The 12923-nt window shown below is 60.8% G+C and overlaps 1 protein-coding gene across 14 annotated transcripts in view, besides 3 other annotated features; it reads right to left on the bottom strand.

Moving 5' to 3' along the window:
- PDE6B (phosphodiesterase 6B) overlaps window positions 1-12923 on the bottom strand; it is a 45210-nt gene that overhangs the window by 2379 nt on the left and 29908 nt on the right. For 5 of the 14 annotated variants that reach the window (NM_000283.4, NM_001145291.2, NM_001379246.1 and 2 more), the window contains 15 exons: window positions 12398-12464; window positions 12112-12159; window positions 11381-11530; window positions 10910-11053; window positions 9387-9452; window positions 7791-7937; window positions 6163-6270; window positions 5786-5895; window positions 5217-5304; window positions 4534-4634; window positions 4183-4290; window positions 3460-3523; window positions 3075-3149; window positions 1790-1873; window positions 398-548 (listed from right to left, as the gene is read on the bottom strand). In NM_000283.4, the coding sequence (NP_000274.3) occupies window positions 398-548; window positions 1790-1873; window positions 3075-3149; window positions 3460-3523; window positions 4183-4290; window positions 4534-4634; window positions 5217-5304; window positions 5786-5895; window positions 6163-6270; window positions 7791-7937; window positions 9387-9452; window positions 10910-11053; window positions 11381-11530; window positions 12112-12159; window positions 12398-12464 (1511 nt within the window). Of the gene's footprint in view, window positions 1-397; window positions 549-1789; window positions 1874-3074; window positions 3150-3459; window positions 3524-4182; window positions 4635-5216; window positions 5305-5785; window positions 5896-6162; window positions 6271-7790; window positions 7938-9386; window positions 9453-10909; window positions 11054-11380; window positions 11531-12111; window positions 12160-12397; window positions 12465-12923 lie in introns of all 14 variants that reach the window. The other 9 variants (XM_047415772.1, XM_047415775.1, XM_047415776.1 and 6 more) reach the window with 5 other exon arrangements.
- Window positions 4375-4844: a silencer, noted in NCBI's record as "silent region_15099". NCBI's record gives its function as "represses an Ori minimal core promoter by ATAC-STARR-seq in GM12878 lymphoblastoid cells {active_cell/tissue: GM12878}" and the evidence as "EXISTENCE:reporter gene assay evidence [ECO:0000049][PMID:35858748]".
- Window positions 4375-5031: a biological region, named in NCBI's record as "H3K27ac-H3K4me1 hESC enhancer GRCh37_chr4:657162-657754".
- Window positions 4439-5031: an enhancer, noted in NCBI's record as "H3K27ac-H3K4me1 hESC enhancer chr4:657162-657754 (GRCh37/hg19 assembly coordinates)". NCBI's record gives its function as "activates a minimal SCP1, AML or CMV promoter by ChIP-STARR-seq in naive H9 embryonic stem cells {active_cell/tissue: H9 hESC(naive)}" and the evidence as "EXISTENCE:reporter gene assay evidence [ECO:0000049][PMID:30033119]".

The raw sequence follows: 12923 nt of genomic DNA, 5'->3' as shown, positions 1-12923 counted from the left end.
GCGGGAATAGCAAGCCAAACCTCAGAGCTAAGGTAGCCAAGTGCGGGCCAATGGCAAGACCACGATGCCTTTGGGATTTGAACTTGGGGGTGTGCTGACTTGTTGCAACTAAGTCCTTTATAAAGGACATAAGATATGGTTACTTCTTTCTTGAAAAATGGGGTTCACTGGCTAGGAACAGAGGAAATTTTTCAGTCCGGGTTTGCTACCGAGGTGGAGTCAGCTGCCACTCTCCCCCGCCGTGGCCTCTCTCCCTGCACTGTGGCCCTGTCCACCTCGAGGCTTCTTGAAAGTGGCTCTGCTTTTCTCCATTTTAACTCTGCTCTGTGCCCTGTCTTTTCATTTTGCCTTGGGAGAGTCACCGAGTCCCTGCCCCACAGGCCACACAGAGCCAGACCTTTCTTGGCTGCCACCCTCTCCTCCTCCTCCTTCTCCTCCAGAGCCTTCACTTTGGCCTCATACTCATCAGCCAGCGCCTTCCACTCTTTCCTATTGTTCTGCAGTCGGTCGAACATGGGCAGGATCTCTTCGTGGAAACGAGAGAACTCCTGAGGGGAGTCGAGAAGTCACCACCAGTCCTGTCCTGCCTGCTCTCTCCAGAGTAAGATAGCCCTTCCCCAGCTCATCCCCCTCGTAGGGGATGAACTGCCTGGCAGGAGGAGGGAGCGCCACGGAGGGGGCACCTTCCCAGCAGAGCCCTGTGAAGGGAGAAACCTCGGGGGCTGTGTTGGTGACATTGAAGCCGGGAGCTTTAGGGTATGCATGCTTAGGGTGCAGTGTTGCAGGGAGAGGAACCCAAGAATGAGCAGAACAGCTCAGGGGGTGGGGGCAGGGTGCCAGGCAGAGGGGTGGTGGGCACAGGCGGACAGCAGGCAGCCCCTGCAGTGCCTTCTCCCGTCCCTCCCACACACACACGGCACACATCATGCAAGCACAGCACACGCGTGCACTCGCGCACATCACACATGGAGTGTGGCGGGGTGGGGAAGGCAGTGGGGGGCACCTGCAGTGGGGCCGTGACCTGTGGCCACTTCAGGCCCAAATATCCACCCTTGTCCCACCTTCTCCCCAGCACTGACGACCCGGGGTGGGTAGGATGGGGCGGGGAGTGGGCACAGCCCACTCCGGGACAACTTCATGTGGAACCCGTGGCATCCTCCTTGGGGCGTGGATTCCATCACCAGGGAGTGTGGCCGGAGGCAGCTGGCTCTTATGGGCATCACACAGGGCCCCACGGTCAGACCCCTGCCCCATCGAGTCTCCCCCTCCATGTCCGCCTTGCGTCCTCAGAGACTCAGCTGGCATCGGACTGTGGCAGATTGGCAGGGATGTGGCTCCTTCTGCTGTTCCAAACGCCCCTGTGGGCGGGTGCACCAGCAGACAGGCCGACCCAGCCCCGCCTCGAGGGTTCACAAACATGGAACAAATGAACCCACAGAGCTGCAGCCAAGGCCCCCAAAACAGTGTGCTGGCCACGGCGGAGGGCACTGAGGGAGAACTTCTGGGGTAGGCCTGGAGGCTAGCAGAGGACATTCTGGGCTGGGAAAGGGCTCAGAGCTTCCAGGGGCACAGCAGGGTGAGGATGGGCTGGGGCACCTGTGGGGGTCCGGAAACTGATGTTCCTCCCCATTTGCCCCACTCAAGAGCGGCACGAAGCTGGCACTGGCATCCCTACTCCAGTGAGGACACCGCCGGGCCCGTGTGAGTCCACGCGACTCCAGCCCGCGCCCCCTTGCCTGCTCCCAGCCACCCTGCCCCAGTCAGCTCGGAACACCCGTGAACCACTCGCCTTGTACACGAATGTGCACACGAAGTCGATGAAGCCCACTTGCAGCTTGGGGAGCTCGGCCGCCTTGTTCCGGTCCATCATAGGCTGGTGGGAGGAACAGAGGGCGGGAGAACAGTGACCAGGGAGGCAGCTCCTGGGGCCCCGCCCAGCCCCCCGACCCCCTCACTCAGATGTGCTCATGGAGACACAGCCTGGGACGAGCCTGCCTGACAGAAACTGGCTCTCGGGAGGGGAAGCTGACACCCTCTCCCTTGGCCAGCGGCTCCACAGCTCCTAGGAACTGTGGGCAGCTTCTTCCCACAGCTGCTGTTGGCTCCAGCCCGTGGTCCCCTGAGGGCAGCCCCCTCTTGGCTCTGGGGACCCTTACTGCAGCTGGGGAGAGGCGGGGAGGGGGATGGGCTGTACACAGTGCTGAGCCGGGCTGGGCTGCACTGCCCAGACACTCGGCTGACCAGGACCTCGCTGTGCACTCGCCTGGGGCAGACACAGACGTGCTCTGGAGCTGTTTCTAGTGTCAGACCCCGAGTGCCCTGGGCTGTCCGTCCCCTCACAGCGTCCTGGTGGAGGGTGAACCATGCAGGACTCTAGAGGCCGGGCGCGGGGGATGGACCTGCTGCCTGTCCTTCCCCTGTGGGGCTTTGCTGACCAACCAATGCCCCCTTTCCTGCCGAGGCTGCACCTGGCCTAAGCCCTCTCCACTGCAGGCTCCAGAGAGCCCCTCGCCGCCCACCAGAGCGGGTGTGTGAGAAACCACAGCTCCCACCTGGTCCACGTGGGGCTGGGGCAGCCCTGCCTCTCCTGTTCCTGGCGCCTATCCTGACTCTCCCATTTGCTGGCACCTCTCCTGCTGCCAGGAGGTATCCAGACCCCGCTGCTGACCTGAGGACCCTGGCATTGTCCATCATACCACTGTGTGGGCCCGGGACGCCCCCCATGCGTTCTCTGCCCCAGCACCCTCCCCAGGGCTTTCTTGGTGCATGGCTCGCGGCCCTGCTGGGGTTCACCTGCAGAGCTGCCTGGACCCAGAGGCTCCTGGTGATGAGCGGGTGGCCCTGGTTCCTCCAGTGCCAACGACGTCACCTCTGCATAAGCATCACCCAAGCCACAGCTGTACCCAGGTCCGAGCCACCCACACGCATGTCACATGATCCCACAAAGTGAGATAAGGACCCCACGACCTCAGAACCCCCTGCCTGAGACCAAGCCAGGACCTGAGGCTCCTGAGGACCAAGAGGGGTCTCTAACACCCGTTTCAGGAGTGGAAGGTTCCAGAAGCAGCACTCACAATGGGCTGCTGATCCAAGACTGTCCTTTCCAAGTCACCTTGCTCCCAGAACTCAGCAGCCACGAGAAGTGCGACCTGGAGGCACAGGAAGGCAGCTGTCTGTGGAGCTCTGAGCCCACGCGGAAGGGCCCGGGCCCGCCCCGTGAGGCTCCGAGCCTCGGTCTTCTCCGCCCCAGACCCCCGGGGTCCCCACCACACAGGGCTCCGGTTGAGCCATGTAGACACACTGCAGTACCCCCATCCTTGCCGCCCTGGCCTGGCCCCGAGGTGGCCCTCAGAGCTCCTTGCAAACAATGGTCCGTTGCCATCCGAGGCTCCCGCCCGCCCGGCAGTCCCATGTGCTGAGAGGCACTGACTCTGGGTCTGGAGGGCCCTCTGTTCTAACCTTGCTCTGGACTTCCCAGGGCTTGGTGATGGCAGACAGGTCGCAGGCTGTCATCATCATGGCCCTGCAGACACAAACCGGGCACGAGTGCTGATGGGCGTCTCCTGAGGGCAGGTGGTTTATATGTGTTTTCTTTTTTGAGATGGAGTCTTGCTCTGTTGCCCAGGCTGGAGTGCAATGGCGCAATCTCAGCTCACTGCAACCTCCGCCTCCCGATTCTTGTGCCTCAGCCTCCCGAGTAGCTGGGATTACAGGCGCCCGCCACCACGCCCGGCTAATTTTTGTATTTTCGGTAGAGACGGGGTTTCACCATGTTGGCCAGGCTGATCTCGAACTCCTGACCTCAGGTGATCCACTCCCCTCGGCCTCCCAAGTGCTGGGTTTATGTGTATTTTCTCACTGGGTCCCTGGGACCAGCCTGGGGAGGGGCTGGTTGTGAATCACCATTTTACAGGTGAAAAAGTGGAAGGTCAAAATGAAGTAAGTTACTGCCAAGGGCTACAGACCAATGCAGGGCCTGTGTGCTCCCCAGCTCTGCACCATCTCCCTGAGAGCTGGGGGGAAATAAGGACGGCGCATTTGTTTCACAGCCCTCGACAAGCTGCCGCGACGGGCTCTTCCTGCTCCAGAGCGTCTGGGGAGGGCTGCAGGGTTAACCAGCTGGTGAGTGGGCCCGGTCCCTGCGAGGGAAGGACCCCTCGTGCCCCCTCCGCCCGCGCTCACATGACGATCTCCTTCCGGGTCGTCTCCAGGGACAGGTACTCCACCCAGCTCTTCTTGTCCTGGTAGTTCTTGGACTCATCCACGATCTTCTGAAACATCGCTCTCTTCCTGAACCCAGGGAACAAGGGAGGTGCAGGTGGGAGCAAGTGTGGAGACCCCGCCCCAAGCGCCCGTCTGCAGGGAGGCGCGGAGCCCGAGCGAGGCCCCATCCGGGGTGCGCGGGGCCGGCGGGCAGGGACGGAATCCGGGGCTGCGTCCCCCGGGCTGTGCCGCCGCTGCGCCCCCGTGTCTGCCGGGGGTCCCAGGCTACCCGCCCGCCCCGCGAGGCGCCCCCTCCCGGAAGGCGCGCACTTGAAGTACAGGGCCAGGTCCGTGGCGATGATGGCGATGTCCATCAGGTGGATCACGTGCTCGTGCTGCCGCCGGTTCAGGTTCTGGTAGATGTTCAGGGTCTGCGGAGGTTATGCCCAGCGCGTCAGGCGCCCTGCGGCCACCTCTCAGGGTGCCCGGGGACCCCGCCCCTTCCGCCTCGGCTGCCTGTGCCTCTCACGCCCCCGCCCTCGGGCCCTCGGTGGGCGGGACCCCTAATCCGCCTGCTGCTCAGGGCCCTCCTCAGGGTGCCCAGCTCTCCACCAGCGGCTCCATCGTCGGCTTGGGACGCAGATGGCCTCAGAGGTCACCACCGGGGAGCGCAGGGAGGGGTCCACTGAGTGTCCAGGTCCTTGGGGGCCGCTCAGGGCTCGGCTGCCCTTCATTCCCCCGCTGGTGGGTCCCGGGCCGCTTCCCCTTCGGCTTCCACCCCACCCCATGAGGGGCCCTTTCCAGTTGTCTTCCCCACAAGCGTTTTCCCAGGGCCTCCGATGCACCTGCCCTCAGCCTCGGCCCTCCGCCTTCTCTGCCGCCCTCCCCCAGTGCTCACACACCCAGTGCTCACCCGCTGCATCAGAACCCTGCTCCGCAGGATACGGCCCTGCCGTCCTGCGGACGCTGCGTCCCCAGCGCCCACAGCAGAAACCGAGGGTGAGTATACCAACCTCCTCCGAGAGCAGGAACTTCCCAAACTCCAGGTGGTGCCGCTCCAAAATCGAGGAGCCGTGGAGCTTAGCCAAGGGGTTCTGGGACCTGTTACACAGGTGGTGGAGGTGAGGCCCGTGGGACCTGCCCTTGGCCCACCCTGCGCTCTGCAGCCCCCCCAGATGGGCCCCACTTTCTTTTTTTTGAGACAGGGTCTGCCTCTGTCACCCACTCTGGAGTGCAGTGGTGCAATCATGGCTCAATACAGCCTTGACCTCCTGGGCTCAAGTGATCCTCCCACCTCAGCCTCCTAAGTAGCTGGGACCACAGGTGTGCGCCACCATACACAGCTTTTTTTTTTTTTTTTTTTTTTAAGTTTTTGTAGAGGAGAGCTCTTGCCATGTTGCCCAGGCTGGTCTCGAACTCCTGGGCTCAAGCAATCCCCTCGCCTTGGCCTCCCACAGTGCTGGAGTACGGGGCCTGGCCGTGGACTCCACTTTCTACATAGCCTGCTATGCGAAGCCTAATTCACGCCAAGGGCGTGGAGTTGATTTAGGGCTAATTCACATGCCCGCCCTGAGGTGCCTACTTCATCTGGTACAGGTTGTTGGTGCCGCGGTGGTCGATGTCATGGCACAGGCCGGCTGTCACCATGGCGAAGGCCTCCAGGTCCGTGTAGTAGCTCTTCAGTTTGCCGGTCTGTAGAGACAGGGCCACCTTGCTCACCGGTCCTGGCTCCAGCAGGGTGGGGAGTGGTGAGGGGTTGGGATGACCTAGGCGTCGGGTTGGAGGTTGGACCTCCGACCACCGCAGGGCTGGGGTGCGCGGTGCACGGTGTCAGAGGGCGTTGCCCTCCTCCATCCTTCTGCCCTGGGAGGACCCCCATCTCATCCCTCGGGGTGCTTGAGTGCTGCCCTTGGTACCAGGAGGGCCTGCACAACCCTGGTGATTCTGGCAGCCACGTACCATGAGCAGCGTGAACATCGTCTGGGCCACGTTGAAGCCGTGGCGCCAGTTGTGGTAGGTGATTCTCCGGTACCCTTTGCTGATGGAGAACAGGAACCGCACCAGGACCTGGGGGAGCCGAGAGGACACAGGGCTCCGGCGGCAAGCGTGTAAGTCCCGCCAGAGCGGCACCTGTGGCTGACTTCACAGTGGAAGCCCTGCTCCGTGCCATCATCCCCACACCGTCTCCTGGACTTCCCGATCTTCCCCATCCCTGCGTTTCCCACTGGCCTCTGCTGGCCTTCCTGGGTAGGGGCTGCCACATTGGCACCTATGGGGTGGAGCCAGGTAGGGCAGGAGCTGAGAACAGCCCCAGCCTTCAGGGGCCGCCCAGCCTCCATCCGACTGCCTGGCCTCAAGCTGGGAGGAGGACCCCTGGGGATGCAGCATATTTTAAGATGTTGGTTTTAGGCATGGACATTTGAATGAGCAGAATGTGTGGGCTGCAGGCTGGGGTGGGAGAACCGATGTCCGCAGGGCAAGAGAATGCTGGTCTCTCTTGCCCTGCGGACATCGCCAGGAGGCTCTTCCTGCGGCCATTGTGATTTTTAGGGTCAGAAAATTATTTGGAAATATTTTTTATTCTGCAAATATTTTCTATACATTTTTTCTTGAGTGTTTTCCCTTAGTATTTAGTAAAACTTCTTTTGAAAATGCTGGCCTGCTGCACCTGTTCTCAGAGGGGCATGAGAAAAGAGGATTCTCTTCCTAGGGCTGTGGGAAGCCCCTTGAGATGTTGGAAGCAGGGCAGGGCAGGAGAACCCAGGGAGGGCACAGAGCTGTGGACGAGGGCTGGGAAAGCCATCCCGCCTCCCCAGGGGGTCTCCGAGGAGTGCTGCTGTGGCCAAACCAGGGGGGCCACTTTGTGCTTTCTGTTTAGGTGATGGGATGCTTCTATCTCCTCAGCACCCCACACCAAATCCCCTGTTATTGCCAGATGATGTGCCTAATGATCAAATTGCTTGGAACTCCTAATAATAAAACTTTAAATCTATCCATTCACCATCCATCTGCTGTCCACCCATCCATTCACCCATTCATTGACCCATCTATTAATTCATTAATTGACCCACCTACTCATCTATCACTCATCCACCCACTTCTCCATCCATCCACCTATCCATTCACTTATCCAACCATCTAACTACCATTGGCCCACTCACCCATCCATCCATTTATCCAACCATCCAACTACCATTGGCCCACCCACCCATCCATTTATCCAACTATCCAACTACCATTGGCATCCACCCATCCATTCATTTATTCTTCCTTTGTTTCTTTCTGCTTGCCTGTTGGCCTTCCTTCCTTCCTAACCTCCCTCCTTCCTCCCTGCTTTTCACCCATCCAGCCATCCATCAATCCAGCCATCCACCCAGCCATCCAATTATTTGTTTTATGCTTACTTCCCGTGTGCATTTTACCTGTTCTGTGATGAACATGTCGGCCCTCTAAACTTCCTGTGGGATCTGGAACCCCCAATCCCATCCCCCTCACCTTCTGGGGCACCTGAGGCCCTGATCACATCCCCACCCCCATGTCCTGGGCGGCCTCAGGGACCTGACTATGCGCCCTGCGGTGTCTCCCACCTCCTGGGGGATCTGGAACTTTCGGACCACGCCCAGCTCGTAGTACATCTGGATGCCACATTTGACCAGGTCCAGTTCGGTGCACTCCAGGTCAGAGAAGTGGAATTCGTAGATGTCAAATGTGGTGGGCCCTGGCAGCTCCTCCTTCTGTGGGAGGGATTGTGGGCTGAGGGAGGTTGGCCTGCCACAGCCCCCACTTGCTTCTCATCCTTTCTTCTCTCCAGATCCCCTGCCAAGCCTCAGACACCTCAGGCATCTCTGAGGAGATGTGTCATTCCTGGCGCTCCAGCCTGTATCCCAGGCTGCTCACACGCCCCCCTGGCTCAGCCTCACTCTCCCCTCTTGTACCCTGTGGCCCAACAGTGAAGAACTTGCCCAGTTGGGTGGACAGGGTGATGTTGTTGAGACAAGAAAACACAAAGGTGTGCACATGAAAAGAAACACACACACACACGGATACAGACACACGTGACACAGGCACACCTGGATACACGGCCACTCCCATGAATACAAAGGCACCGGTGTGGACACACAGGCACACACATGAGCACCCAGGCACACCCACAGACATGCAGGCACACACGTGCAGACTCACGCATGTAGGCTCACACACACAGCCATGAGGTAACACACACAACAGTGGACTTTCAGACCCACCAGGCACATTCCCATGCTCAGTCCAAGGCCTACTCACAAGGCTCGTGGCCCCGGGAGATTCTGGCTAAATTGCATAGGCAGACACAGGGTGATGGGGACACCACATAATCCCCACATTGATCCAGCAATCGTCTCTAGGAGACACACACAAGCATGTGTCTATATATATCCATGTGCACACACATGCACACACAATACACACCCCCTGTGCACATGTGAGCACACACACATGGGTGCACACACGGGCACACACACACAAACGCCCATGTGCACACACATGCACACACATACTCGTGGGCACACATGTGCACACACATGTGTACACATGTGCACATTCATACAATGCACACACGCACACACATACCCACATGTGCACACACACACCCACATGTGCACACATGTACACACCTGTGCAGACGCCCACGTGTGCACACACACCTACATGCACACACACGTACACACTTGTGCACACACAGACACCCACATGTGCACACACATGCACACAGACACCCATGTGCGTGCACACATGCGGATGCACACACACTGGGAGTTGCAGGCACCTAGGCACTCTGAGAGCAGAGATGACATAGATGGACACAGAGTCCAAGTCAGGCCCACTAAACATCCGGTGAAAACTAAACATCTGGCAAAGCACAGAGGAGACAGGAAGACACGAAGATACACTCAGGAGTGCAGACATCAAAGCCACATTCTGGCCATGCAAACACACTCAGGGACACACTGGCTGAGACTGAAAGCCAGGCTTATGTACACACACGTACACTAAGGTGCTTAGATACACAAGTATACACACACAGCACCAACATCCCTGATGACCGTGTGTGCAAAGCACCGTCGGGTCCCGGAGAATGCAGAACTCTTCCTCCCAGCCTCACACGTGGCCGGCCTCCATGGGAGGGACGGGAGCAAGGTTCTTACCAGGATTTCGCCCAGCTCGTCCTCATCGCAGTCAGCAGGCTCCTTCCCCAGGCGCGCTCTGGTTGGCTACACAGAGACACAGATGTGTCACGAGAAAGAGCTTCGCATGTGGGACAAGGTGACGGCGGTGCGTCCACCCCGTGTGAGCTAGAGGAAGGTGCTGTCAAGAGCTTGTGCTTTCACCCTGGGAAGGCCCTGGCGGCCTCTGATCTGGAGACAAATGACCGTGTGCATGGCCTGCTGACTTTCCCACCTGTCCTCTCTCGGGCACTGCCTTACGCAGTCCTCAGGTATAATGATGGGACTCTCTCATGATGACCAGGAGGGCTCTGGCCATGCAAGGCCCCTGGCTGGGGAGATTGAGCACAGGGAAGGGATGCCAGGGCCGTGCAGACAGAGGGACCTCGGGGGCATGCCAGGGCTGTACTCAGCTCTGGCCCCAGGGCCGTGTCCCCACCACACAGAGAGAGCTGTGACCCCTGGGTAACCTGGCCGCCCACTGCACAGAGGGAGCCGTGACCCCTGGGTGACCTGCCCCACACAGCTGTGACCCCTGGGTGACCTGCCCCCACCGCACAGCCATGACCCCTGGGTGACCTGCCCCTGCCACACAGCCGTGACCCCTGGACGACCTGCCCCGCACACCTGTGACCCCTGGGTGACCTGCCCCCACCACACAGCCATGACCCTTGGGTGACCTGCCCCGCACACCTGTGACCCCTGGACGACCTGCCCCCGCCGCACAGCCGTGACCCCTGGTGACCTGTCCCTGCCACAGATCCATGACCCCTGGGTGACCTGCCCCCGCCACACAGCCGTGACCCCTGGCGACTTGCCCCCACCATACAGCCATGACCCCTGGTGACCTGTCCCCACCGCACAGCTGTGACCCCTGGTGACCTGCCCCCGCCGCAGAGCCATGACCTCTGGGTGACCCCTGGATGGACCCCTGGACGACCTGCCCCCACCACACAGCCGTGACCCCTGGATGACCTGCCCCCACCGCACAGCCATGACCCCTGGGTGAGCCCTGGATGACCTGCCTCTGCTGCACAGCCATGACCCCTGTGACCCCTCAATGGACCCCTGGACGACCTGCCTGTGCCACACAGCCATGACCCCTGGGTGACCCCTGGACGACCTGCCCCTGCCGCACAGCCGTGACCCCTGGGTGACCCCTGGACGACCTGCCCCCGCCGCACAGCCATGACCCCTGGGTGAGCCCTGGATGACCTGCCTCTGCTGCACAGCCATGACCCCTGGGTGACCCCTGGATGCCCTGCCCCCGCCGCACAGCTGTGACCCCTGGGTGACCCCTGGACGACCTGCCCCCACCGCACAGCCGTGACCCCTGGGTGACCCCTGGACGACCTGCCCCCACCGCACAGCCGTGACCCCTGGGTGACCCCTGGATGACCTGCCCCCACCACACAGCCGAGACCCCTGGGTGACCCCTGGACGACCTGCCCCTGCCACACAGCCGTGACCCCTGGGTGACCCCTGGACGTCCTGCCCCGCCGCACCAGGATGAGCTGGATCTCGTCCCTGTCGCACTTCACGTGGTAAAGGACCATGTCCTGTGCGATGTCCTTGCGGTTCTCCAGCTTGTTCATCTTGTCGTAGGTGTCGGTGTTCATCACTGACCAGCCCAGGAACTGTGTCAGGGACTGGAGGGGATGGCAGTGTCACTGGCGCTCAGCGCTCCCGGCGCGCCCCCTCCCATGTGCCTGTGTGCCAGGCCCCGTGGCTCGGCGGGCAGGTCCTGGGGCTGCCACCATGGTGTCGCAGTGCTTCTGTGTGGGGTCTCCCGGGTGCTCTGCAGAGGCTCCTGCTCCCGGGGGGGCCCTTTGTCGTCCTCTCCCTGGCCGCATGCATACCGCACACACATGAGCACACGCACACAGCCGAATGCTTGGCGGGGAGGCCCCCACACCGCACAGGCCCCACCCCTCGCAGGGCATCCCCGGCGGAACCACGTCTGCCCAGGTGCTTACCTCCATGAGAACCTCGTCCTGTTCGTCAAAGGGCTTCCCGTCTTTCCTGTTGTAAAATGTGGCGACTCCCACAATCTCCTCCTTCTTGTTGACGATGGGCATGGACAGCACATTCTTGATGAGCCACCCGGAGTCGTCCAGGGCCCCTTCCTGCGGGAGCGGTGTCCAGAGCTGAGCTCCGCCCTGAGGCTGGCCCTGGCCCGGGCGTGTGGCCGGGGAGAGTGACCTCATGTCTTCTCCCCTAGAGCCGTGACGGCTGGGCTCGTGTTCCTGTCTCTGCTCTCTGCATTCCCTCTCTCCCTCTCTGCATTTGGAGTTTGTGTCCATGGTTTTTGTGTCATGATATTTTCCCACCGGAGGAGGTAGAGGCCGTTTTCCCACCAGGAGTGGTTTCATGGGCATGTGTGTGGGGCGGCGGTCACGGCCTCGCAGGGGTGTGTGGGGGCCGCGGTCACGGCCTCGCAGGGGTGTGTGGGGGCCGCGGTCACGGCCTCGCAGGGGTGTGTGGGGGCCGCGGTCACGGCCTTGCGGGCGTGTGTGGGGGCTGTGGTCACAGCCCCAGGTGATCCACCCGCCTCAGCCTCCCAAAGTGCTGGGATTACAGGCGTGAGCCACCATGCCTGGCTGAAGTTGTTTTTTAAGTGGCAAAAACGAATTCACTTCATCATCGCTGAATCAAAATCTCCTCTTTTGTAAGTAAGTATAATTTCTACCAAGGCACAGACAGATACCTGAAATTTGAACATTTCGTCAGCGGAAGCATTCATGATGTTACAAATCTGAAAAAGCATCAGAAAAACGATTTCATCCAAAACAGCGGAAGGTCTGTTATGATCTAAAATGGCCTCTGTGGCCCTGAGGTGAGCTTTTAAGTAGGTAAAGCAGGGCAGCTGGGGGCTTCACTGAGGCACGTGGAGCTGGCCGGGAGGGCGGGACGTGGCAGAGACAAGGAGAAGCACACATCGCCGCACCCAGTGAGGGCAAGGCTGTGGGGACTCCAGACAGCACGGGACTCACAAAGCCGCTTTCTGCCACGTAGCTTGGAAGGCCGCTGGCCAGGGCCCAGTGATCGGCTGAGGGTGTGCTGTGGGCAGAGAGCAGGGGTCAGATAGGCCACGCCGGGCTGGATGTGCGCGTGCAGGAGTCAGAGGGACTGGATGTCTGTGTGCAGGGGTGAGAGGGGCTGGTCTAGGCTGCACGTGTGTGTGCAGGGGTCAGAGGGGCTGGTCTGGGCTGCACGTGTGTGTGCAGGGGTCAGAGGGGCCAGGCTGCGCTGGATGTAGGTGTACTGGGGTCAGATGGACTGGGCGTGTGTGCAGGGGTCTGGGGGTCTCTGGCTCATGTGCCATCCTCAGCATTTACTCTCTTCTCTGAGTGCCAGGGGGTTCAGGAGGCGAGGAGGCCAGGGCGTGGGTTGGAGGACGGCTGTGCTGCCTTCTTCCTCCTCCCCAGGCTGCCGTGCTGGGGCCCCTCCCTCTTGGGAACCCCTCCCTCTCCGGAGGCCGTATGGCTTCAGCCTGCTTTCTAGGACTCAGCGTTGGTG

Source organism: Homo sapiens, chromosome 4, assembly GCF_000001405.40.
Source record: "Homo sapiens chromosome 4, GRCh38.p14 Primary Assembly".
NCBI classification, from domain to species: domain Eukaryota; kingdom Metazoa; phylum Chordata; class Mammalia; order Primates; family Hominidae; genus Homo; species Homo sapiens.
This window is presented reverse-complemented; position numbering and strand designations above follow the sequence as displayed.